Source organism: Homo sapiens, chromosome 15, assembly GCF_000001405.40.
Source record: "Homo sapiens chromosome 15, GRCh38.p14 Primary Assembly".
Classification (NCBI taxonomy): Eukaryota; Metazoa; Chordata; class Mammalia; order Primates; family Hominidae; genus Homo; species Homo sapiens.
The window spans coordinates 56,312,060-56,339,755 of NC_000015.10; the positions used below are offsets into that span (position 1 = coordinate 56,312,060).

The 27,696-nt window shown below is 38.7% G+C and overlaps 1 protein-coding gene and 1 pseudogene across 8 annotated transcripts in view, besides 1 other annotated feature; both read left to right on the forward strand.

Moving 5' to 3' along the window:
* Positions 1-27,696, forward strand: part of TEX9 (testis expressed 9) — a 216,038-nt gene that overhangs the window by 68,087 nt on the left and 120,255 nt on the right. The window lies entirely within an intron of this gene.
* Positions 4,376-4,927: an enhancer, noted in NCBI's record as "OCT4-NANOG-H3K27ac-H3K4me1 hESC enhancer chr15:56608633-56609184 (GRCh37/hg19 assembly coordinates)". NCBI's record gives its function as "activates a minimal SCP1, AML or CMV promoter by ChIP-STARR-seq in primed H9 embryonic stem cells {active_cell/tissue: H9 hESC(primed)}" and the evidence as "EXISTENCE:reporter gene assay evidence [ECO:0000049][PMID:30033119]".
* HMGB1P33 (high mobility group box 1 pseudogene 33) lies at positions 11,040-11,678 on the forward strand (annotated as a pseudogene).

Sequence of the window (27,696 nt, forward strand, 5' to 3'; positions counted from 1 at the left end):
GTAGGTTGCGAAAATTTTCTCCCATTTTGTAGGTTGCCTCTTCACTCTGATGGTAGTTTCTTTTGCTGTGCAGAAGCTCTTTAGTTTAATTACATCCCATTTGTCAATTTTGTCTTTTGTTGCCATTGCTTTTGGTGTTTTAGACATGAAGTCCTTGCCCATGCCTATGTCCTGAATGGTAATGCCTAGGTTTTCTTCTAGGGTTTTTACGGTTTTAGGTCTAACGTTTAAGTCTTTAATCCATCTTGAATTAATTTTTGGATAAGGTGTAAGGAAGGGATCCAGTTTCAGCTTTCTACATATGGCTAGCCAGTTTTCCCAGTACCATTTATTAAATAGGGAATCCTTTCCCCATTGCTTGTTTTTCTCAGGTTTGTCAAAGATCAGATAGTTGTAGATATGCGGCATTATTTCTGAGGGCTCTGTTCTGTTCCATTGATCTATATCTCTGTTTTGGTACCAGTACCATGCTCTTTTGGTTACTGTAGCCTTGTAGTATAGTTTGAGGTCAGGTAGTGTGATGCCTCCAGCTTTGTTCTTTTGGCTTAGGATTGACTTGGTGATGCGGGCTCTTTTTTGGTTCCATATGAACTTTAAAGTAGTTTTTTCCAATTCTGTGAAGAAAGTCATTGGTAGCTTGATGGGGATGGCATTGAATCTGTAAATTACCTTGGGCAGTATGGCCATTTTCATGATATTGATTCTTCCTACCCATGAGCATGGAATGTTCTTCCATTTGTTTGTATCCTCTTTTATTTCCTTGAGCAGTGGTTTGTAGTTCTCCTTGAAGAGGTCCTTCACATCCCTTGTAAGTTGGATTCCTAGGTATTTTATTCTCTTTGAAGCAATTGTGAATGGGAGTTCACTCATGATTTGGCTCTCTGTTTGTCTGTTGTTGGTGTATAAGTATGCTTGTGATTTTTGTACATTGATTTTGTATCCTGAGACTTTGCTGAAGTTGCTTATCAGCTTAAGGAGATTTGGGGCTGAGACAATGGGGTTTTCTAGATATACAATCATGTCATCTGCAAACAGGGACAATTTGACTTCCTCTTTTCCTAATTGAATACCCGTTATTCCCTTCTTCTGCCTAATTGCCCTGGCCAGAACTTCCAACACTATGTTGAATAGGAGTGGTGAGAGAGGGCATCCCTGTCTTGTGCCAGTTTTCAAAGGGAATGCTTCCAGTTTTTGCCCATTCAGTATGATATTGGCTGTGGGTTTGTCATAGATGATAGCTCTTATTATTTTGAGATACGTCCCATCAATACCTAATTTATTGAGAGTTTTTAGCATGAAGGGTTGTTGAATTTTGTCAAAGGCTTTTTCTGCATCTATTGAGATAATCATGTGGTTTTTGTCTTTGGTTCTGTTTATATGCTGGATTACATTTATTGATTTGCGTATATTGAACCAGCCTTGCATCCCAGGGCTGAAGCCCACTTGATCATGGTGGATAAGCTTTTTGATGTGCTGCTGGATTCGTTTTGCCAGTATTTTATTGAGGATTTTTGCATCAATGTTCATCAAGGATATTGGTCTAAAATTCTCTTTTTTTGTTGTGTCTCTGCCTGGCTTTGGTATCAGAATGATGCTGGCCTCATAAAATGAGTTAGGGAGGATTCCCTCTTTTTCTATTGATTGGAATAGTTTTAGAAGGAATGGTACCAGTTCCTCCTTGTACCTCTGGTAGAATTCGGCTGTGAATCCATCTGGTCCTGGACTCTTTTTGGTTGGTAAGCTATTGATTATTGCCACAATTTCAGATCCTGTTATTGGTCTATTCAGAGATTCAACTTCTTCCTGGTTTAGTCTTGGGAGAGTGTATGTGTCCAGGAATTTATCCATTTCTTCTAGATTTTCTAGTTTATTTGCGTAGAGGTGTTTGTAGTATTCTCTGATGGTAGTTTGTATTTCTGTGGGATCGGTGATGATATCCCCTTTATCATTTTTTATTGCGTCCATTTGATTCTTCTCTCTTTTTTTCTTTATTAGTCTTGCTAGCGGTCTATCAATTTTGTTGATCCTTTCAAAAAACCAGCTCCTGGATTCATTAATTTTTTGAAGGGTTTTTTGTGTCTCTATTTCCTTCAGTTCTGCTCTGATTTTAGTTATTTCTTGCCTTCTGCTAGCTTTTGAATGTGTTTGCTCTTGCTTTTCTAGCTCTTTTAATTGTGATGTTAGGGTGTCAATTTTGGATCTTTCCTGCTTTCTCTTGTGGGCATTTAGTGCTATAAATTTCCCTCTACACACTGCTTTGAATGCGTCCCAGAGATTCTGGTATGTTGTGTCTTTGTTCTCGTTGGTTTCAAAGAACATCTTCATTTCTGCCTTCATTTCGTTATGTACCCAGTAGTCATTCAGGAGCAGGTTGTTCAGTTTCCATGTAGTTGAGCGGTTTTGAGTGAGATTCTTAATCCTGAGTTCTAGTTTGATTGCACTGTGGTCTGAGAGATAGTTTGTTATAATTTCTGTTCTTTTACATTTGCTGAGGAGAGCTTTACTTCCAACTATGTGGTCAATTTTGGAATAGGTATGGTGTGGTGCTGAAAAAAAAGTATATTCTATTGATTTGGGGTGGAGAGTTCTGTAGATATCTATTAGGTCTTCTTGGTGCAGAGCTGAGTTCAATTCCTGGGTATCCTTGTTGACTTTCTGTCTCGTTGATCTGTCTAATGTTGACAGTGGGGTGTTAAAGTCTCCCATTATTATTGTGTGGGAGTCTAAGTCTCTTTGTAGGTCACTCAGGACTTGCTTTATGAATCTGGGTGCTCCAGTGTTGGGTGCATATATATTTAGGATAGTTAGCTCTTCTTGTTGAATTGATCCCTTTACCATTATGTAATGGCCTTCTTTGTCTCTTTTGATCTTTGTTGGTTTAAAGTCTGTTTTATCAGAGACTGGGATTGCAACCCCTGCCTTTTTTTGTTTTCCATTTGCTTGGTAGATCTTCCTCCATCCTTTTATTTTGAGCCTATGTGTGTCTCTGCATGTGAGATGGGTTTCCTGAATACAGCACAGTGATGGGTCTTAACTCTTTATCCAATTTGCCAGTCTGTGTCTTTTAATTGGAGAATTTAGTCCATTTACATTTAAAGTTAGTATTGTTATGTGTGAATTTGATCCTGTCATTATGATGTTAGCTGGTTATTTTGCTCGTTAGTTGATGCAGTTTCTTCCTAGTCTCAATGGTCTTTACATTTTGGCATGATTTTGCAGCGGCTGGTACCGGTTGTTCCTTTCCATGTTTAGTGCTTCCTTCAGGAGCTCTTGTAAGGCAGGCCTGGTGGTGACAAAATCTCTCAGCATTTGCTTGTCTGTAAAGTATTTTATTTCTCCTTCACTTATGAAGCTTGGTTTGGCTGGATATGAAATTCTGGGTTGAAAATTCTTGTCTTTAAGAATGTTGAATATTGGCCCCCACTCTCTTCTGGCTTGTAGGGTTTCTGCCGAGAGATCCGCTGTTAGTCTGATGGCCTTCCCTTTGAGGGTAACCCGACCTTTCTCTGTGGCTGCCCTTAACATTTTTTCCTTCATTTCAACTTTGGTGAATCTGACAATTATGTGTCTTGGAGTTGCTCTTCTCGAGGAGTATCTTTGTGGCGTTCTCTGTATTTCCTGAATCTGAACGTTGGCCTGCCTTGCTAGATTGGGGAAGTTCTCCTGGATAATATCCTGCAGAGTGTTTTCCAACTTGGTTCCATTCTCCCCATCACTTTCAGGTACACCAATCAGATGTAGATTTGGTCTTTTCACATAGTCCCATATTTCTTGGAGGCTTTGCTCATTTCTTTTTATTATTTTTTCTCTAAACTTCCCTTCTAGCTTCATTTTATTCATTTCATCTTCCATCGCTGATACCCTTTCTTCCAGTTGATCGCGTCGGCTCCTGAGGCTTCTGCATTCTTCACGTAGCTCTCGAGCCTTGGTTTTCAGCTCCATCAGCTCCTTTAAGCACTTCTCTGTATTGGTTATTCTAGTTATACCTTCTTCTAAATTTTTTTCAAAGTTTTCAACTTCTTTGCCTTTGGTTTGAATATCCTCCCGTAGCTCAGAGTAATTTGATCGTCTGAAGCCTTCTTCTCTCAGCTCGTCAAAGTCATTCTCCATCCAGCTTTGTTCCGTTGCTGGTAAGGAACTGCGTTCCTTTGGAGGAGGAGAGGTGCTCTGATTTTTAGAGTTTCCAGTTTTTCTGTTCTGTTTTTTCCCCATCTTTGTGGTTTTATCTACTTTTCGTCTTTGATGATGGTGATGTACAGATGGGTTTTTGGTGTGGTTGTCCTTTCTGTTTGTTAGTTTTCCTTCTTACAGAGAGGACCCTCAGCTGCAGGTCTGTTGGAGTACCCTGCCGTGTGAGGCGTCAGTGTGCCCCTGCTGGGGGTGCCTCCCAGTTAGGCTGCTCGGGGGTCAGGGGTCAGGGACCCACTTGAGGAGGCAGTCTGCCCGTTCTCAGATCTCCAGCTGCGTGCTGGGAGAACCACTGCTCTCTTCAAAGCTGTCAGACAGGGACATTTAAGGCTGCAGAGGTTACTGCTGTCTTTTTGTTTGTCTGCGCCCTGCCCCCAGAGGTGGAGCCTACAGAGGCAGGCAGGCCTCCTTGAGCTGTGGTGGGCTCCACCCAGTTGGAGCTTCCGGGCTGCTTTGTTTACCTAATCAAGCCTGGGCAATGGTGGGCGCCCCTCCCCCAGCCTCGCTGTCGCCTTGCAGTTTGATCTCAGACTGCTGTGCTAGCAATCAGCGAGACTCCGTGAGCGTAGGACCCTCCAAGCCAGGTGCGGGATATAATCTCGTGGTGCATCGTTTTTTAAGCCCGTCGGAAAAGCGCAGTATTCGGGTGGGAGTGACCCGATTTTCCAGGTGCCGTCCGTCACCCCTTTCTTTGACTCAGAAAGGGAACTCCCTGACCCCTTGCGCTTCCCAAGTGAGGCAATGCCTCGCCCTGCTTCTGCTCGCGCAGGGTGCGCGCACCCACTGACCTGCGCCCACTGTCTGGCACTCCCTAGTGAGATGAACCCGGTACCTCAGATGGAAATGCGGAAATCACCCGTCTTCTGCGTCGCTCACGCTGGGAGCTGTAGACCGGAGCTGTTCCTATTTGGCCATCTTGGCTCCTCCCCCCTTGTGGGAAGTTTTTAATTATTATTATGGATTCAATATCTTGTTATGAATCTATTCAGATTTTCTCTTTATTCTCAAGTCAAATTGACCAGTTTGTCTTTCTAGGAATATACTCATTTCATCTAGGCTACTGAGTTCATTGGCAAACAATTATTCATTCCCTTATAGTCCTTTTGGTTTCTGTAAGGTAGGCAGATATCTGCCCCCTTCTTTATTCTTAATGTTAGCAATTTAAGTTTTCCCCTCTCTTTTCCTTTTCAGTCTAGCTAAAGGTTTGTCAGTTTTGTGAATCATATCAAAGAACCAACTTCTATTGATTTTCTCTATTGTTTTTCTATTTTCTGTTTTATGTATTTCTACTCTAATCTTTATTATTTTCTTCCTTCTACTTGCTTTGAATTTAGTTTACTATCCTTTTTCTAGTTTATTAAGGCAGACATTTAGGCTTTCTATTTGAGATCTTTTTTTAAATATAGGCCTTTATAGCTAGACATTTCTAAGTACAGCTTAATTGTGTTCCATATATTGTACTTTCATTTTCATTAATCTCAAGGTATTTCCTAATTTCCCTTGTGATTTCATCTTTGACAATTGATTATTTAGGATTATGTCATTCAATTTCCACATATCTGAGAATTTTCCAAATTTCCTTCTCTTATTGATTTTTAATTTTATTCAATTTTTGTTGGAGGGCACATTTATTGAGGCTTGTTTTATGGCCTAACATATGATCTTTTCTGGAAAATATCTCATGGGCACTTGTGGAGAATGTGTATATCACTGTTTGAGGTGGAATGTTCATAGATGTCTATTAGGTCTAGTTGGTTTATAGCATTTTTCAAATCTTCTGCTTTCTTGTTTATAGTCTATTGGTTCTATCCATTATTGAAACTGGGTTACTGAAATCTCTCTTATTGTTGAATTGTCTTATTTCTCCTTCAATTCTCTCAATCTTTGCTTTATATATTTTGAAGCTCTGTTGTTAGGTGCATATATATTTGTAATTGTTTTGTGTTTGTTGAATTGACCCTTTTATTTATGTTCCTAATGCGTTGATCCTTTTATTATTAAAAAAGTCCTTCTTTGTCTCTGTTAACACTTTTTGCTTTGACGTCTATTTCATCTGATATAAATATAGCTGCTCCAATTCTTTTTTGTTTACTGTTTGCATGCTATATGTTTTGTCATCTTTTTCTTTCAACCTATTTGTACATTTGAATCTAAAGTGCATCATATTGTAGGCAGCATATCGTTGGATCATGTTTTTATCTATTCTACAGTTCTTGGCCTTTTGATTGGAGTGGTTTTTCCACTAAATTTGATTAGTGTTTAGTTTACATTTAATAAAATTACTGATGAGGTAAGATTTATGTCTGCTATTCTCCATTTGTTTTCTATATGTCTTTCATCTTTTTTGTTTCTTTATTCCTTTATTACTTCCTTCTTTTGTGTTAAATAAATATTATCTAGCATATAATTTTAATTCTCTTGTTGTTTCTTTTACTATTTTTTTGAGAAATACTCAGTGGTTTTCTTGGAGATTGCAGTTAACATCTTAACTTAAGCAATCAAGTTCAGATTAATACCATTGTAATTTTAATAGTATATAAAAATTTGCTCCGATATAGCTCCACTTCTTCCTCCCTCCTTTGTGCTATTATTGTCACACATGTCATTATATTATAAACCCATCAATGCAGTTTTATAATTAATAATTTATGCAGTTGTTAAGAGACTACTCAACAAATGAGATTAAAGAACTCTACGCTATTACAACCCTGTACATAACATGCCCACATCCATACTGTATTAAAGGTCTTCAATGTCTCTGTTTGCCTAGGTTTAGAATACAAAAGAAAATTATTTAATTGCTTAAAGTAGTATTTAAAAATCCCACCAGTATTGTTCAGAGAGGAAGTTTCACAAGTGAAATTTTAAAAATCTGTATCATCCATCTGTATTATCCTATTATCACTATAAATTTGAGAATTTCTTAGGTCATAAGGCAGGACCAACCCCTCTGTGATGGCCACAATAAACCATTTCAAAACGTCTTGACCATTTGAATGGCTAAGTTAAAGTTTCTCATTACTAAGACTGTATTACTAAGTGGTTCAGATATCAAAGGAGGGGTTTTTAATGATAATACTTACCATGATACACAAGCAGAAGACTCTTACCAACTGTGTCAACAAAACAAGACATATACATAAGACAAATCACAGATCATAGTGGGCATTTCAACCCTTCTGATGCTCTGATTGCAGATTTCAGAACTTAGAGTACAGAGTATGCAAAAATTTTAATCACACATTATTCTTCTTTCCATAATAAAAAGGTACCCTTTCAAGCTTTTCGTGTTTGCTTTTGCTGTTCCTCAGATTTGCATGTTGATTTCAGTTTTAATGTTGAAACTTCATTTTCTTCATATTAATTTATTTCTCTTTCTCAAAATCCAACTTGTCTGGGCCCAGCAGAAACCTAGGGAAATGGCAGCACCAAATGAGAGAGTCAGCAGGTAAGAGCACAGTCAAAATTGGCCCTATGATCAATTCCCAGGATGAGGAGGCAGAAGCCCAGTTTGTATGAGCCAGTGTTATGGCCAAGAAAATATTGTGAATCATATCTTTCAGATGGGGGGAAGTTGGAAAATGAGTATTAAAGTCAGTGGTCAGAAGACTGGAGGATGGGTAGGTTCAATGCAAAACATAGGTTTGTTGAATGTGAGGTAGGTGGTCCATGTCAAAACATGGTATATGATGTGGAGCCAGGATCACCTATTTAAGGAGGTATATCAGGCTGAACAGAGACAAAACTCTTTCCTCTATGTCCTCTCTAAAACCTTGTGTCATATTCTTGTAATTAACTAGTCTCCCCTGGGCCCTGTATCTGATGCTACAGCTGCAGGTACAGGTGCCCTCATAGGCATTTTTATTGCAACATCTTTTAAACTCTCATTTTATTTTGTCTAGTATTAGATAGTATTTAGGTGCTCACTTCCACTGCAATGGAATTATTCTCTAAAAAGTAATCAGAGTGTATTCTCTGCTGAAGTGTAAGCTTCTTTAGGGCAATAGTTTTTGTTATACCTCTATGTTAGTCAGCTCCAGCTGCCATAATAAAATACCATAGACTGAGTAGCTTAGACAACAAAAATTTATTTTCTCACAGTTCTGGAGGCTGGAAAGTCTCAGATCAAGGTTCTAGTCAATTTAGTTTCTGGTAAGGGCTCTCTTCCTGGCTTGCAGAGGGCTTCCTTTTTACTATGTCCTTACATGACCTTTCTTGTCTGTGTGTGGGGATAGAGGGAAAGAGAGAGATAGAGAGGAGAAAGAGAGAGACAGAGCAAGAGCACATATGCATGAGAGAGATAGGACTCACCCTGGTGTTGTTTCTTCTAAGGACACTATTTCTATCAGATCAGGGTCCAATCCCTGTGACCTCATTTAACTTCAGTTACCTATTCCCTCCAGAGCTGTGGAGATAGGGAGAGTAATATGTTGTGTATGCTTGCTGTATATAATTAGGGTAGCCATATGATTTGTCATCAGAATGGGTACACTTTGAGAGTAAAAAATGTGCTATGATAATTACACCTTATATCCAGCATTGTCCTGGCAAACCTGGCCATATGGTCATACTGGTCTAATACTAAAGGGCTCCTTTGTTTTCCTTTGCCCCTTTGGACACATATCTCCCTCAGGAATATTGTGAAGAGTGGCTGGAACCAGGAAATAAAGACAGTACATTTCCACTAATATGCATGAGACAAAGCCTAAGCCACGTTGTGAATCATCAAAGTTTGTCAAAGCCACTTTACAATCGTAGCCTGCCAGAGTTGTTAACTTCTGGTTTTTATGCTACAGCTGCAGGTACAGGAGCTAACCTGTGAGCTTTCTTGTTATTTTTTATTTCCTACTTGTGGGAAACTCAATGCCACTGTGTGATTCATGGGTCAGAGTTCCTAGTAGATGCGAATGATTAGTGGGTGTGATATAATCAAAGAGGAATACAATAAGGCCACAGTAACTAAGCTGGAAGTTTGACTTTGACATTTAAACCCCCTTGTCCCAGGGCATACTCAAAACTTAGATGTGGCAAACCAAAGAACCAAGGCCAGAGCACAGAATACTCAGGTTAAGAAGCAACTGGTTCCTGAGTGAGGGAGCAGACTCAGAATGCAGGGCTCAAATGGAAAGAGACTGGGAACTTCAGGAACTGCATAGGCAAGTAGCATTTTGCAGACATCATTAGAGTAACCTTCAGCAATTCAACAACAGTTATTCAGTGCTTAAAAGGATCTTTGGACTTTGGTAAATCCAAAGAAAATACTGCAATTAGTATTAAGGCCATTATATGAAAAGGTAATTTATGAAGGACAGGAACAGATATTGGGAAGGGAATTAGCAGGAACCTGACAAACTAGGAGAGGAGGAATCTGAGCCAAGCCAGGCCAGCATGGAAATTATTCTTCTAACCAGCCTAGCTGAGGTTTTGCCCTGAGAATCTACATCACATTCCCATTAAAGCTTATATTTAGTTTATTAAATATATCTATGCTTAAGTTAATACTCTTTCAGTCATGCTTAATTAATTATTTTGCTATCCTCAAGTACTGATTTGAATGACTCCTGCAGATATTAGGACTAGCTAGACCTCAAATAATGGTTAGAGTAAAAATACTAGGGTCTAAAAACAATAGAGATGGAGAAAACATAAGTAGTTGCCGGGGTTAGGAGTGGGTGGGGGAAGGGGTTGACTGTAAATTGGCTGCCTGAGGGAGTTCTGAGGAATGATCACACTGCTTTATATTTTGATTGTGGGAATAGATAAATGACTCTAGGCATATGTCAGAATTCATATAAGTATACAGCACAAACAGTAAATTTTACTATATGTAAATTTAAAAATAAAGGGAACCATGTCCACCTCCGAGGAAGAGTGTTCCTGTCCAAAGGAAAAGCAAGCAGAAAAGGAGTGGAAATGAGCTTCAGGTCTGCGGATCAGCAAGAATACCAGTGTGGATAGAGAGGAGTAGGGAAGAAGTGAGGAGTGGACAGGTTGTGTCAAGTCTGATAGGCCTTAGTAAGAAGTGCATTTTATTTTAAGTGTGGCAGGAGGCCATTGAGAGTAAGCAGGGTAACTACCCGGTCACCTTTGCATTTTTAAAGGCTTACTCTGGCTCTTATATGGAGAAGAAACATTAGGGGGCAATTATGGAATTAAGAAAACCATCGTGGTCATGCAGAAATGGTCTTGGAAGAGTTTTAGTGTGGAAGGAGTGGGTGAGAGGGAGCTTTTTTCTACTGCCCAACCAGAATCCTGTCTCATCATTGAAATGATATACTTAATATTACCTCAGGATTCCTTATCTCTTGGGCCTTACAGAGATGTTGTAGTACGTGTAGAAATGCTGCTAGGCAACTTGAAGGTGAGCTGAAGTTGGTGACTAAATTTTTAGTGACTCCAAGGCACAGTTGTATGATTTTTCTCTAGCGATGTTCAGGAGCCCATGTGTATGAATGGAGAAGGCAGATGGTTTTACTAATCCAGAGTCAAAGTTTTGCCAGATGTGTGTGAGGAATGAACAAAGGGGCCAAATAATATTACTGTAATTCACACTAAGGAGTTAATATTTTAATACAGTACATAATCACATTACAGTAAAAAAATATCACATGTTGAAGACAAGGTGGTGGGAATGATGCTAAGAGTATAGTAGGAAGAATGGTAAAGAGAGAATGGGGTGAGGCATGGTAAAGAGAGGAGGAGAAGAAGGAGGAGGAAAAGAATATCACAGAGTACTTCCTAACAAAAATAAAGAACGGAGGCACAGCTATGGCAGTACACTGAGCTCCATAGAGACAGCACTGGGGCAAGTGAGAGCTGGATGGGTACTGGATGACTCTGCCTCATTGAGAAAAAATAACTAACCATGGGCAAAGGAGATTCTAAGAAGCTGAGAATCAAAATGTCCTCATATGCATTCTTTGTGCAAACTTGTTGGGAGGAGCACAAGAAAAAGCAGCCAATGCTTCAGTCAACTTCTCAAAGTTCTCTAAGAAGTGCTCAGAGTAGTGGAAGATCATGTCTGCCAAAGAGAAAGGAAAATTTGAAGATATGGCAAAGGTGGACATGAAAAAGTAATGAAAACCTGTGTTTCCTAAAGGGGAAACAAAAAAAGTTCAAGGAACTCTATGTATCTGAGAGCCTCCTTCGGCTTTTTTTCTTGTTCTGTTCTGAATATCGCCCAGAAGTCAAAAGAGAACATCCCATTGGTGATGAGGCAAAGGAACTGGGAGAGATGTGGAATAACACTGCACAAATGACAAGCAGCCTTATGAAAAGAAGGCTGTGAAGCTGAAAGAAAAATGTGAAAAGGATATTGCTGCATACCAAGCTAAAGAAAAGCCTGATGCAGCAAAAAAACGGGAGATGTCAAGGCTGAAAAAAGTGAGAAAAAGGAGGAAGAGGAACAAGATGAAGAGGAGGAAGAGGAAGAGGAAGAAGAAGAAGAGGAAGAAGGAGGAGGAGGAGAAGGAGGAAGAGGAGGAGGAGGAGAAGGAGGAGAAGGAGGAGAAGGAGGAGAAGGAGAGGGAGGGGGAGGGGGAAGAGGAAGAAAAAAGTAGTAGTAGTTGGTTCTAGTGACTTTTTTCTTGTCTGCAAACCATTTAACTCCCCTGTACACAACTCACTCCTTTTAAAGAAAATAATTGAAATGTAAGGCTCTGTAAGGTTTGTTTTTAAACTGTCCAGTGTCCTTTTTTGTATAGTTAACACACTAATGGATATGTCTTTAGATATCATGCCCTGGTAGTATTTTCCATAGCCACAAACCTGGCCTGGTACAGTATGGGGGTCGTAAACTGGCATAGAAATCGAAAGCAGGTTCTTATTGGTGCACAGCACAAATTAGTTATATATGGGGATGGTAGTGTTTTCATCTTCAGTTGTCTCTTACACAAAATAATTGTTCTTTTAACTAAATATCACTCTGTAATTGCAAAAAAAAAAAGTCGCAGTGGTTTTGTTGCCATTCTGAATGCTTCTAAGTAAATACAATTTTTTATCCGTTAAAAAAAAAGAAACAGTACAAGTTCTTGTCCTTTTGGAAGTAGTCCTTCCTGGAAGCCTGCATATCAGATCATTACAAGTCTATACTTTAATTTAGAATAGTTCATTTTGGACAGTGTGGGATATATGTGTATAATTTTAATATACACCTTAGGAAGGCATATTAACATTGAGTTACACACATAAGTGGTGTGTAGGAAAAAGGCTCACATTCCACAGGGAATATTCCTAATATCTTTAATTAACTGAGAGGGTTTGTTAATTAGCATACTGCATTAGAAATTATTTTTCATTGGTAAAATATATAGTATTCTACAGATGTGGATTATGTAGGAATATTGTATAGGCTTTTCCACAGCTGCATGAACGGACAAAGTATGGAAATGTGGTGAACTCATTATTTTTACCCTTTGGAATGGTGCTCTATGCTTAGAATTCCAATTAATTCTTTGTATAGCTACTTAGGATGGATTTTGTGGCCTGGCTTCGGCTAGATGTTTAGCTAAGTCATGATGCATCTGCCTTGAGTGACTCTTTCATGCAAGTTACTTGCTCTAGCATTTAAAAGGTCAGAAAAGTGGGGCTTTAGCAAGCTTACACTATAGGTTGTGTGACTGCTTTTATTCCTTCTTACTGAAGAACATGTGTAAGTGTGGCAGATTTGGTCTATAACTTGATTTCATTATAAAATCCACATAATAGACAGATTATAAAGGAAAAGACCAATAGTTCTTACCTACCTCTAGTCATCAGAAGGTTCCAATAGAGCCTAATAATCAGAAATAATCAAACAGGTTTAAGTCAGTTTGGCAATACACTGTGTAAGACAGCCTGCTTTAGAAGGTCCTTGGTTCCTTGGTAGATGAGTATGTGTTCTCTTTTTCTGTGTAGCATTGATTACCACCTTGTAGAAACACAAATGCTAATTCTGGAAGTGAATTATAGAATCATATAGTCCGCTTATTTATGGAGAAATTAAGAAAGATTAAGTCACTTTCTCAAGGTTAATCCATCAGCTAGATAGTGGTGAAAGAAAGAACAGATCCTGGATCTTGTGATACAGAAGTCTCATTGCCACAGAAATGGAGCCATGTTTTTGAAAACAGAACACATGAAATACGTGATTTAGAAAGTCTGGTATGACTTACAGGGATGAAAGGACAAAAGACTCGAGATTCCAAAGGCATTAGCAAAACACTTCCTTTTCTTTTATTCATCCCTGTTGCTCCATACTTAACCTCTTACCCATTTCTATGATACCATATTTTTAAAATCTCCTTTAACTACCTTAAGAAAATGTTCATTATCAAAATTGGGGGATCCAACAGTATTACACATTGGCTCTTCCTGTCTCTGCACCCTCTCATAATGTAAGGTAAAGATATGTGTTGTTTCCTTTTGTTTTAAGGATGCATAATTAATTTTTCTATTTGTCCAAACTGACCAAATGTTCTTGATGGACTCTCGTTCACATATAATATTTGAAATGCTACAACTGAGTATATAAAACAATCCCTATTTCATGGTCTGACTATAGCCAGTATTAATAATGAGAAAATTTAAGTCAACATTTTTTGACCAAAATTTAGTGATTATCCAGAATCTTAAGTCTCTTCCCACCTCTACGTTTTGTGACTGTGCATTTACCATTTGCACAAGGTGCTTCAATGATTCCTTCACTCATGTCTCAAGGTCTGATAATGAACATACGGTCCCCAATTATTTAACACTCCAGGTATCATTGGTTAGAAAGCACAAATGGTTCTTTGGTAGCCAGATAGTTTGATGAGATAAACTCAAGGATTAGAGACCCTCAAGAGATGAGGGTCATCCAAGTGACAAGTGACTGCTTACATACTGTCACTTGCTACTGAATGAAGTCCTCTTTTCCCACAAGAAATTTATTTCAATTTTGGACAGCTTTCACTACTAGGAAGTCCTTCTTTGAATAGAAATCCTTCTCCTTGTAACTTCTACCCACTAGCCTCTTTTTCTATGGTTTTTTAAGTGTCATCGTGAATGCATTCCATTTTTTCTTGCGTGTATCAGCCTTTTGATATTTGAAAGTAGTTTTCATGCCCACACCACAGCTTCAAAACGAAAACTTGTAGACAAATATATTTACTGAAGGACACAAAATAAACTCAATTTTTTCAATTATAAATGTTTTTATCATCTAATTTATAAAACATTTAATATAAAATATTTTTAAACATCCACGTTTTACATAAATAATCTGAGTTATTTTTAGAAATATTTAGAAATTACAGGTAACTATCTTAGTTTGGGTATGTCCAGAAGCAGATGAGACAAGGATTTGAGTAAAAATCAGATTTGGAAATGCAGAACAATTCAGAAGAGTAAAGGAGTAATATAAGGAAAATAATCCAGCCAATGAAAGGTGTGTTCGTAAGCCAGCTGTCAGGGTGGGCAACTGGAGAAAAATCTCATGGAGAAACGCTGGGAGATGCTGCAAAATAAATACCTCAGAATTACGCTATCTCAGTAGTGGGCTACTTCCTCACCATTTTCATCTCACTCACATGCAGAGCTATATTCCACAAATCTGGAATAAAAAGCCCTCAGGCATGGAGGTAGCCATTAGAAGTTGGATGGAGTATTGGGTGGGACACTAAGCATCTAAGTCAATAAGTTAATGATAATTGTAATTATTCATTGGGTACAGTGTATGCTGCTTGGGTAATGGGTGCACTAAAATCTCAGAAATCACCATTAAAGAACTTACCCGTGTAACCAAATACCACCTGTTCCCCAAAAACTATTGAAATAAAAAATCATTATCAAAATAATGATTAACATTTTGATATTCTTTCATTCAGATTTTTTCCAAATGCATATATACTTGAATATAAATTATTCCTAAAGAAAAATCATTCTATAACATTAATTTGTAGTTGTCTTGTCACTTAATAAAACCACATTTTTCTATTTCAATCAATATGAATCTGCTCATATTATTACTGATGATATAGTACGCCATAATTTATTTAATTTCCTGATTGGACATTTAGATTAGTTCCGGGTTTTTGCTGTCATGAAAAAATGCTTTATTTCAGTTTCATTGAACAATGAATCCTTACTTGCTTCAGCTGCCACTTAATTTTGTTTATTAAAACAATGCTTAAAAGATATAAACAGTATGGGAAAGAATACCATTGGAGGGGGTGAAGCAAGATGGCAAGTAGAAGCCTCCACTCATTGTGCCTCCCACAGGAACACCAAATGTAACAAGTATCTACACACAAAAAACACCTTTATAAGAACCAAAAATCAAGCGAGTACTAACAATACCTGATTTTAACTTCATACTGAAAGAAGCACTGAAGAGGGTAAGAAAGACAATCTCGAACTGCCAACACCACTCCTCCCCCATGCCATCACAGCAGCCTCGTGGTGCAGAAGGAGAATCTGTGCGTTTGCGAGAGGGAGATTGCAGCGATTGCAGAACTTTGCATTGGAAACTGGTGCTGCCAACACTGGGGAGAACTCAGCCAGCAGCCTCAGGGGGAGCATTTAGACCAGCCCTAGCCAGAGGGCAAACACCCATTCTAGCAGTTGGAACCTGAGTTCCAACATGCCTCACCACTGAAGCCTAAAGTGCTTTCGGGCCCTAGGTAAACTTGAAAGGCAGTCTAGGCCACAAGAACCGCAACTCTTAGGCAAGTCGTAGTGCTGAACTGGGCTTGAGGCCAATGGACTTGGGGAACACACAAACTACTGAGACACCAGCCAGGGCAGCTAAGGGAGTGCTTATGCCACCCCTCCCCCAACCCCAGGCAGCATAGCTTGCAGCTCCAAAATAGCCCCGCTTCCTTCTGCTTGTAAGGAGAGGGGAAAGTAAAGAGGACTTTGTCTTGCATCATGGATACCAGCTCAGCCACAATAGGGTAGGGCACTGGGCAGAGTCATGAGGTCCCACTCCAGACCCTAGCTTCTGGATGACATTTCTAGACACACCCTGGGCCAAAACGGAACCTGCTGCATTCAAGGGAAGCACTTGTTCCTGGCAGGACTCATCACCTACTAACAAAAGAGCCCTTAGGCCCTGAATAACCAGCAGTGACACCCAGGTGATACATCGTGGGCCTTGGGTGAGACCCAGCACATTCCCAACTGTGGTGACTATGGTGATAAAGTAAAGGGGATTTTGTCTTGCACCTTATGTACCAGCTCAGCCACAGTGGGGAAGAGCACCAAGCAGGCTCTTGGGGTCCCTGATTCCAGCCCTGACTCTTGGATGGCATTTCTCAAACTGCTTTGGGCCAGAGGGGAGCCCACTCACCTGAAGGGCAAGTCCCAGACTGGGCAGCATTAATCACAAGCTGACCAAAGAGCCCTTGGACTTAAAGTGAATATTGGCAGTAGCCTGGCAGTAAGCTTCAAGGACCTGTGGTAGTAGTGGCCACAAGGTGTGTCTCCTCTGCTTGTGGAAAGGGGAGAGAGAAGTGGGAAGTACTGGGTCTCATGGTTTGAGTGCCAGCTCAGCACTCAGTGGTAAAATAGAACACCAGATAGATTTCTAACATTTTTGACTCCAGGCCCTGACTCCTGTATGGCATCACTGGACCTGAGGACTGGGAGAACTAGCCACCCTGAAGAGAAGGACAGACGCCTGGCTGGCTTCACCACCTGCTGATTGTAGAGTCCTAGGGCCTTGTACAAATGTAAGTGGCAATCAGTGGCTACAATGGCCCTTGGGCGAGATCGAGTGCTGTATTGGCTTCAGGTTTGACCCAGAGCAGTCCCAGTGGTGGTGGCCTCAGAAGTGCTGGTGTCACCCCACCCCCAGCTCCACACAGCTCAGCACAGAGAAGCACTCTCCATTTGTTGGGGAGAAAGTAAGGGGAGAGAACAAGAGTCTCTGCCTGGTAATCAAGAGCATTCTTCTGGATCATGTCCAAGGCCACCAAGGCAGTATCTCTGTGAGTCTAGAAGAACCACAACATTACAGGGCTTGGAGTACCCCCTAATGCAGGTATGGCTTAGATTTCAACACCCAACACCTTTCAAATACCTGGAAAGCCTTCCTAAGAAGTATGGATAAAGAAGCCCAGACTGTAAATAAAGACTGCAGTAAATACCTAACTCTTCAATGCCCAGACACTGATGAACATCAACAAACATCAAGACCATCAAGGAAAACATAATGACACCAAACGAACTAAATGAGTTAATTTAGTTCCGGGATAAATCGTGTGGAAACAGAGATACGTGACCTTTCAGACAGATAAATCAAAATAGCTATTTTTAGAAAACTCCAATTCAAGATAATGCAGAGAAGGAATTCAGAATCCTCCCAGATAAATTTAACAAAGAGATGGAAATAGTTAAAAAAAATCAAGCAGAAATTCTGGTGTTGAAAAATGCAATTGACATACTGAAGAATGCATCGAAGTCTTAGTAACAGAATTCATCAAAGAGAAGAAAGAATTAGTGAGCATGAAGCTGGGCTATTTGAAAATACACAGTTAGAGGAGACAAAAGAAAAAAGAATAAAAAACAATGAAGCAAGCCTACAAGACCTAGAAAATAGCTTCAAAAGGGCAAATCTAAGAGCTATTAGCCTTAAAGTGAGAAAGTTTATTTGAAGGGTTACTATCAGGGAACTTCTTAAACCTAGAGAATATTATTAATATCCAAGTACAAGAAGGTTATAGAACACCAAGCAGATTTAATCCAAAGAAGACTACCTCAAGGCATTTAATAAACTCCCAAAAGTCAAGGATAAAGAAAGGATCCTAAAAGGAGCAAGAGAAAAGAAAAAAAACAAACAAACATAGAATGGAGCTCCAATATGTCTGGCAGCAGACTTCTCCATGGAAACCTTATGGGCCAGGAGAGAGTGCCATGACATATTTAAAGTGCTAAAGGAAAAAAATATTTTACCCTAGAATAATATATCCAGTGAAAATATACTTCAAACATGAAGAAGAAATAAACACTTTCCCTGACAAACAGAAGCTAAGGGATTTTGTCAATACCAGACCTGCTCTATAAGAAATGCTAAAGGGGGTACTTCAATCTGAAAGAAAAGGACATTAATGAACAAGAAGAAATCATCTGAAGGTATAAAACTCACTGGTAAGAGTAAGTACACAGAAAAAGTCAGAATATTATTGCACTGTATGGTTGTAAACTACTCTTATCCTAAGTAGAAAGACTAAGTGATGAACCAATCAAAAATAATAAGTACAATAACTTTTCAAGACATAGTATAATAAGATATAAGTACAAGCAATGAAAAGGTAAAAAAGTAGAGGAACAAAATTAGAAATTTTATTAGTTTTCTTTTTGCTTTAGTTAGTTCATGCAAGCAAAGTTATTATCAGCTTAAAATAATGGATTATATAATAGGATTTGCTAGTCTCATAGTAACCTCACATCAAAAAATGCACAACAGATACACAGAAAATAAAAAGCAGGAAATCAAATCATACCACCAGAGGAAATCACCATCAAAAAGGAAGATAAGAAAGAAGAGAAGGCCACAAAACCACCAGAAAAAAAAAATGGTTGGAGTAAGTTCTTACTTTTTAATAATAAGATTGAATGTAAATGGACTAAACTTTCCAATAAAAAGACATGGAATAGCTGACTGGATTGAAAAAAAATAGGACCCAATGATCTGTTGCCTAAAAGAAACATATTTTACCTGAAAAGACATACATAGACTGAAAATAAAGAAATGGAAAAAGGTATTCCATGCCAATAGAAACCAAAAAGAGCAGGAGTTGCTCTGTTTATATCAGGCAAGATGTATTTCAAGACAAAAAGAGAGACAAAGAAGGTCATTATGTAAAGATACAAGGGTCAATTCAGTGACAAGATAAAACAATTTTGAATATATGTGCAGCCAACATTGGAGGACTTAGATATATAAAGCAAATATTATTAGAGGTAATGAGAGAGATAGACCTCAATATAATAATAGCTGGGGAATTCAACACACCACTTTCAGCATTGGACAGATCATCCAGACAGAAAATCAGCAAGGAAACATCAGACTTAGTCTGCACTGTGGACCAAGTACACCTAATAGATATTTACAGAACATTTCATCCAAGGGCTGCAGAATACGCATTCTTCTCCTCAGCACATAAATCATTCTCAAGGATAGACCATATGTTAGCAACAAAGGAAGTCATAAAACATTCAAAAAAGTTGAAATAATATCTAGCATCTTCTCTGACCACAATTAAATAAAATCAGAAATCAATAAGAGGAAGAATTTTGAAAACTATACAAACATATGGAAATTAAACAATATGCTCCTGAATGACAAGTAGGTCAATAAAGAGATTAAGAAGGAAATTGAAAAATTTCTTGAAACAAATAATAATGGAAACACACCATGCCAAAACCTATGGAATATGGCAAAAGCAGTACTAAGAGGGAATTTTATAGCCATAAGCACCTACATAAAAAAAAATTTTTAAATAAACACCCCAGTAATGCATGTTAAAGAACTAGAAACTACAATGAACTCAAACAAATTTACAAGAAAAAAACAAACAACCCCATCAAAAAGTGGGCGAAGGACATGAACAGACACTTCTCAAAAGAAGACATTTATGCAGCCAAAAAACACATGAAAAAATGCTCATCATCACTGGCCATCAGAGAAATGCAAATCAAAACCACAATGAGATACCATCTCACACCAGTTAGAATGGCAATCATTAAAAAGTCAGGAAACAACAGGTGCTGGAGAGGATGTGGAGAAATAGGAACACTTTTACACTGTTGGTGGGACTGTAAACTAGTTCAACCATTGTGGAAGTCAGTGTGGCGATTCCTCAGGGATCTAGAACTGGAAATACCATTTGACCCAGCCATCCCATTACTGGGTATATACCCAAAGGACTATGAATCATGCTGCTGTAAAGACACATGCACACGTATGTTTATTGCGGCATTATTCACAATAGCAAAGACTTGGAACCAACCCAAATGTCCAACAATGATAGACTGGATTAAGAAAATGTGGCACACATACACCATGGAATACTATGCAGCCATAAAAATGATGAGTTCATGTCCTTTGTAGGGACATGGATGAAATTGGAAATCATCATTCTCAGTAAACTATCGCAAGAACAAAAAACCAAACACCGCATATTCTCACCCATAGGTGGGAATTGAACAATGAGATCACATGGACACAGGAAGGGGAATATCACACTCTGGGGACTGTCGTGGGGTGGGGGGAGGGGGGAGGGATAGCATTGGGAGATATACCTAATGCTAGATCACGAGTTAGTGGGTGCAGCGCACCAGCATGGCTCATGTATACATATGTAACTAACCTCCACAATGTGCACATGTACCCTAAAACTTAAAATATAAAAAAAAAAAGAACTAGAAAAAGAAGAGCAAATCAAACACAATATAAGTAGAAGAAAAGAAATAAGACCAGAGCAGAAATAAATAAAATTGAAATGAAAAAACATCAAAAAAACAAAAAATTGGTTTTTGAAAAGAAAAAATGTACAAACCGTTAGCCAGAATAACTAAGAAAAAAGGGAGAAGATCTAAATAAATAAAATCAGAGGTGAAAAAGGAGACATTACAACTGATAAAGCAGAAGCTTGAAGGATCATTAGTGACTACCATGAGCAACTATATGCTAATAAATTGGAAAATCTAAAAGAAATGGATAAATTGCTAGATACATAAAACCTACCAAAATTGAACCATGAAGAAATCCAAAACTTAAACATATCAATAACAAGTAACAAGCTGGAAGCCATAATAAAAAGTCTCCCAACAAAGCAAAGCCCAGGACTTGATGGCTTTTTTGCTGAATTCCACCAAACATTTAAAGAAGAAGTAATAACAATCATACTCCAACTATTCTGAAAAATAGAGGAGAGAATACTTCCAAACCATTCTATGAGGACAGTGTTACCCTGACACCAAAACCAGACAAAGACACATCAAAAAAGAAACCTACAGGCCGTTATCTCTGATGAACATTGATGCAAAAATCCTCAACAAAACACTAGCAAACCAAATTCAACAACACATCAAAAAGATCATTCATCATGACTAAGTAGGATTTATCCCAGTGATGGAGGGATGGTTCAACATATGCAAATCAATCAATGTGATACATCATATCAACAGAATGAAGGAAAAAAAACCATATGATAATTTTAATTGTTGCTGGAAAAGCATTTGATGAAATTCAACACTCCTTCATGATAAAAAAAAAAAACCCTCAAAAAACTGGATACAGAAGGAAAATACCTCAACACAATAAAAGCCATAGATGACAGAACCATAGATAGTATATCACGCTGAATGGGAAAAGACCAAAAGCCTTTCATCTAAGAGCTGGAACAAGACAAAGATGCCCACTTGCACCCTGTTATTCAACATAGTACTTGAAGTCCTAGCTAGAGCAATCAGACAAGAGAAAGAAATAAAGGATATCCACATTGGAAAGGAAAAAGTCAAATTATCCTTGTTTGCAGATGATATGATCTTATATTTGGAAAAACATAAAGACTTAACCAAAAAGCTATTAGAAATGATACAGTCAGTTAAGTTGCAGGATACAAAATCATACAAAAATCAGTAGCATTTTTATATTCCATCAGCAAACAATCTGAAAAAGATATCAAGAAACTAATCTCATTTACAGTAGCTACAAATAAAATTAAATACCTAGGAATTAACCGAAGAAGACAAAGACCTCTACAGTGAAAATTGTAAAACACTGATACAAGAAATTGAAGAGGACACAAAAAATGGAAAGATATTTCATGTTTATAAATTGAAAGAATCAATATTGTTAAAATGTTTACATGTCCCAAAGCAATTTATAGATTTAATGCAATCCCTATCAAAATACCACGGACATTCTTCACAGAAACAAAAAAAATCCTAAAATTTAAATGCAACCACAGAAGACTCAGAATGGCCAAAGCTATCCCAAGCAAATGAACAAAGCTAGAGGAACTACACTACCTGACTTCAAATTATACTACAGAGCTATTGTAACCAAAACGGCATGGTACTGGCATAAAGACAGACACATAGACCAGTGGAACATAGTAGAGAGCCCGGAAATAAGTCTGTACACCTACAGTGAACTCATTTTTGACAAAAGTGCCAAGAACATACAGTAAGGAGAGAACAGTCTCTTTAATAAATCGTGCTGGAAAAATTGGATATCCACATGCAGAAGAATGAAATTGGACCTCGGTCTCGTGCCATATACAAAAATCAAAATGATTACTGACTTAAATCTAAGACTCAAAACTGTGAAACTACTGAAAGAAATACTGGGGACACTCTTTAGAACATTGGTTTGGGCAAAAATTTCTTGAGTAATACCCCATAAACACAGGCAACCAAAGCAAAAATGGACAAATGGGATCACATCAAGTTAAAAAGCTCCTACACAACAAAGGAAACAATCCACAAAGTGAAGAGACAACCCACAGGATGGGAGAAAATATTTGCCAACTATCCATCTGACAAGCGATTAATAACCAGAATATATAAGGAGCTCAAACAACTCCATAGGAAAAAAATCTAAAAATCTGATTTTTTTAAATGGGCAAAGGATCTGAATAGACATTTCTCAAAAGAAGACATACAAATGGCAAACAGGTATATGAAAAGGTGCTCAACTAAACATCAGAGAAATGCAAATCAAAACTATAATGAGATATCATCTGACACCATTTAAAATGACTTTTATCCAAAAGACAGACAATAACAAATACTGGTGAGGATGAGGAGAAAAGGGAATCCTGGTACACTGTTGGTGAGAGTGTGTATTAGTACAACCACTATGCAGAACAGTTTGGAGGTTCCTCAAAAATTGAAATAGAGACACTATATGATCCAGCAATCCTACTGCCAGGTATAGAGCCAAAAGAAAGGAAATCAGTATGTTGAACAGGTATCTACACTCTCATGTTTATTGCAGCACTGTTTACAATAGCCAGTATATACAAGCAACCTAAGCGTCCATCAGCAGATGAATGGATGAAGAAAATGTACATATACACAATGGAGCACTATTCAGCCATAAAAAGAATGAGATCTTCCCATTTGCAACAACAAAATGGATGGAACTGGAGGTCATTATATTAAGTGAAATAAGCCAGGCACAGAAAGACAAACATCACATGTTTTTACTCATTTGTGGGAGCCAAAAATTAAAACAATTGAACTCATGGAGATAGAGAATAGAAGGGTGGTTACCAGGGGCTGGGAAGGGTATGGGGATGGGGGAAGTGGGAATGGTTAATGGGTACAAAAAATAGTTAGAAAGATTAAATAAGACAATATTTGCTAGCATAACAGGGTGATTATAGTAAAAACTAATTTAGTTGTACATTTAAAAATAACTAGAAGAATATAGTTGGATTTTGGTAACACGAAGTACAAATGTTTGAAATGATGGACACCCCATTTACCCTAATATAATCATTACACTGTGCATATATGTATCGAAGTATCTCATGTAACCCATAAATATATATACCTACTATATACCCACAAAAATTAAAAATAAAAAAATTTGTTAAAGTGTGCAATGTATTTAAACACAAACGATTCATATTTTCTTCATAGTTTAGAAATATGACTTATATAAGTTTAAATGCAAAATATTATATGATTGTATCATAAATTACAGCCATTTAGGTTACAGGGATTCAACTTCATGTGTTTCATATACTGCTGCTACTTCAACTTAGGATGCATTTATTTACATTTATGGATATTGATTTGGATTTTACCTGCATAAAGTCCAGTTCAGTACCATCATGGTCTCCCATGTGCAGTTGCATCGCTGAAATACTTTCATTTCTTCTCAGAGTACTTGTTATTTGTTAGTTTGTAGCGGTGGCAAATTATGTATCATATCCCCATAATCTCAACTTGTTCAGTGGGTGTGATTGTCTTAGGTTGGGTTTCTGGGAAACAGACTCTGAGATGGTGCAATAAACTGAATGTTTGTATTCCCCACCCCCCATTCATGTTAAATCCCTAATCCCAATATGATGGTATTTGAAGGTGGGGCCTTTGGAAGGTAATTAGGTCACAAGGGTGGTCCCTGCATAAATGAGATTTCCTTATAAGAAATCAGAGAACTAGCTAGCTCTCTTTCTCCCATGTTATATCTCCCAATATTTCTCTGGTAATATCTCCCAGATTACCAAATTGGTAATCTGCAATCCGGAAGAGGGCCCTCACCAGAGCCCCACCATGTTGGCACACTGATTTCAGACTTCCAGCCTCCAGAACTGTGAGAAATAAGTTTCTATTGTTTATACACCACCCAGTGTATGGTACTTTGTTATAACAGCCTGAGATGACAGATGGAAATTAGAATGCAGGAGATTTAATGGGGAGTAGACTCATAAGCATTACCTATATGAGAATGATTGGGCAGCTGGAGAAGTTGAATTGCAGTACAGTTGCAACAACAGCCTCAGGTGATACTACAAGGAGCTGGTATGGCCCTTCAGAATTATCCTGAATTAGGGCAAGGGAATTGGGCCCTTATACTCCTACATCAGCCAGTCTTTGGTTGTTGGCTGCACCTTGGAGAGGGGAGTGAAAACTGGGGCAAGGCATTACCTTTCAGCGTAGGGCGATTCCCAGTAGAGGACTCAGCTGTGAACTGCAAGTGTTTGACACTCCCAGCAGCTAGGGGTGTAAGTACTTTAACCCTGAAGAGGGTATCTGAACAATGCATGACAACATCTTCTATAGTCTACCGCTTGTACAGCTTGTATCCTCTTGCTTCATGTAATAGTTATTTCGCATCTGGAGATAACTTACCCTGGATTCTAGTTAGTCTTTTTTTCCTGGAAAAATTTACAAGAAAAAGATTAGTGGGAAAAAATTCCAAATCCTGACATTACACTTCATCCTGAGGCTGTAACTGATAAATCATTATTTCCCTCCTGTTCCACACATTCTATATCCCCTTCACATTCAACTTGCACTTCTGCTGGGCTAAGTGGCTTATCTGGTGGGGCTATTCAGATCCTTATCCTTGAGGGGTCTGACCCTCTAGTTACCACATCTGTCATAGGCTGTGGATACTGCATGTATTCGTCTGGCATCAACACTGGGTAGGGGAATTATCAAGAGACTGTGAAAATAAGTAATTCAAAGTATAAGCTGTTGGAACTTTATTTTGAGCCTTAAATGAATGTGATTATAGGGCCTGAGTCTGTGCAAGCAACCGTAACTGGGGCAGCTGTAACCTTTGTTTCTGTGGTTAAATATTAGCCTTTTTCATTGCCATATTTTGTAAAATGTTGTAAATGACTAAAAGGCACCAGGGAAGACCCCTTCCTTCTTACTGTTCATCTTCATTATAGATGAACTTCCCTCTTACCTCTGTCACACAAAGACTTCATGGCTATTACATTGTCTAACACCCTTTTCAATTGGAAAGGAAAATAAAACAAATGGTAATTCATTAAATTACTGTAACTCATAAACAAGCCATGTGTAGAAAATGTTGTAATCCTGTTAAATTTTTTGGTTTTCTTCCTATATAAGCAAGACCTTAACTTTTAATTTTGGAGCACTGACCTCATTGCAGGAGTCTGTGTTTCCCAAGTGGCTGGTCCTAGTTTTTTGCTTAAATAAACTCTTTAAAACTGGATTCTGATCCTTTTGATTATTTCAGGTTGATAAGACATTCCAGTAGATGAGCTACATCCTAAATGGTTTTTCCTTCCCATTGTGTAACAGTAACCCTATTTCTTTCTAGTTAATTTTCCTGCCAGTATGGAGACTCTTTTCCTTCCCTGCTAGTCCTTTGGCACAAGGAATCTGAAATGACCAGGTGGCAGCCATAGCTTAAAGTTTAGTGAGACTCTTATCAGTGTGTCCCTTTTGGGAAGCATTTCCTCTCTGCAAACTAGAGCCTCTAGGCCTGCAGAGCCTGAAGTTGCTGGTACAGGAAGCACTTAGAGTATTACTGAGAAAAGCTAATCTACTTTTGCCACTTGGATTCTCCTCTTTGGAAAAATAGTACCATTCAATGTTCATTGACTTAAGATGCCAAGCCTATCCTAAAGGGTAATTCCCCATCCTCACATGATACTGTTCTTTCAAAAGTCTGCTCCACCTGTCTATCAGACCTGCAGGTTTTGGGTGGTGCAGTATATGATAGGACTAGTGAATCTCATGGTCACGGATCCACTGCCACAACTTATTTGTACAACAGCTCACTTGGTCTGAGACAGTGATCCCTTGTATAGTGGTGTAGGCTGAGGCACTTTGGGTGAGAACTGTAAACCTATATTTGAAATGGTTATTATTTATTTTGGAGGGGATCTTTCAGCAAGCCCCAGACCACTGGACTGTTAAAAATGTTGGCTGGGCGCGGTAGCTCATGCCTGTAATCCCAGCACTTTGGGAGGCCAAGGTGGGTGGATCACCTGAGGTCAGGAGTTTGAGACCAGTATGGCCAACATGGTGAAAGCCCATCTCTACTAAAAATACAAAAAATTAGCTGGGCATGGTGGCGAGTGCCTTTAATCCCAGCTACTTGGGAAGTTGAGGCAGGAGAATCACTTGAACCTGGGAGGCAGAGGTTGCATTGAGCCAAGATCACACCATTGGTCTCCAGCCTGGGCAACGAGAGTGAAACATTGTCTTAAAAAAAAGTCACTGATGTGGTAGGCCTGAATCTTTATAGGGGTGTCCCCTATGCTCTGGTGTGCATGTATTTTACAAAAGCATCCTGAATACTTGTCATTTCTTACTCATAATGTTCTGTGGGAGGGCCTAGTAGTCCTGGTATTTTCAAACTATGTTATGAAAAAGAATAGGAGAATACAGGCCTGGTGTGGTGGCTCACGTCTGTAATCCCAGCACTTTGAGGGGCTGAGGTGGGTGGATCACCTGAGGTCAGGAGTTCCAGACTAGCCTGGCCAACATGGTGAAACCCCGACTCTACTAAAAATACAAAAATTAGCCGGGTGTGGTGGTGTGTGCCTGTAATCCCAGCTACTCAGGAGGCTGAGGCAGGAGAATCGCTTGAACCCAGGAGGTGGAGGTTGCAGTAAGCCCTGATCACGCCACTGCACTGCAGCCTGGGTGTCAGAGCAAGACTCCTTCTCCAAAAAAAAAAAAAAAAAAAAAAAAAAAAAAACAGGAGAATAACTTAGCCCCTGGGCAAAACCATTCATTTGTACTGTTTTCCATCCCATGTAAGGCCAACTGTTTATACTCTTCCTGCCTGCTAGGTATTGAAAACAACGCATATGCCAGATTAATAAGCCCATATCATTTATCAGGGGCTGTGTTAGTCTGCTGTAATAAAAATACCACATTCAGCAGAGTAGCTGCAATTAGGGTTACTACTTAGTTAAGTTCGAGACATTATGCACAGATATAGACTGAATGCTTACGTCCCCCCGCCAATTTATATGTTGAAACCTACTCCCTAGTGTGATGGTATTAGGAGGTGTGGCCATTATTAGGTGATTAGGT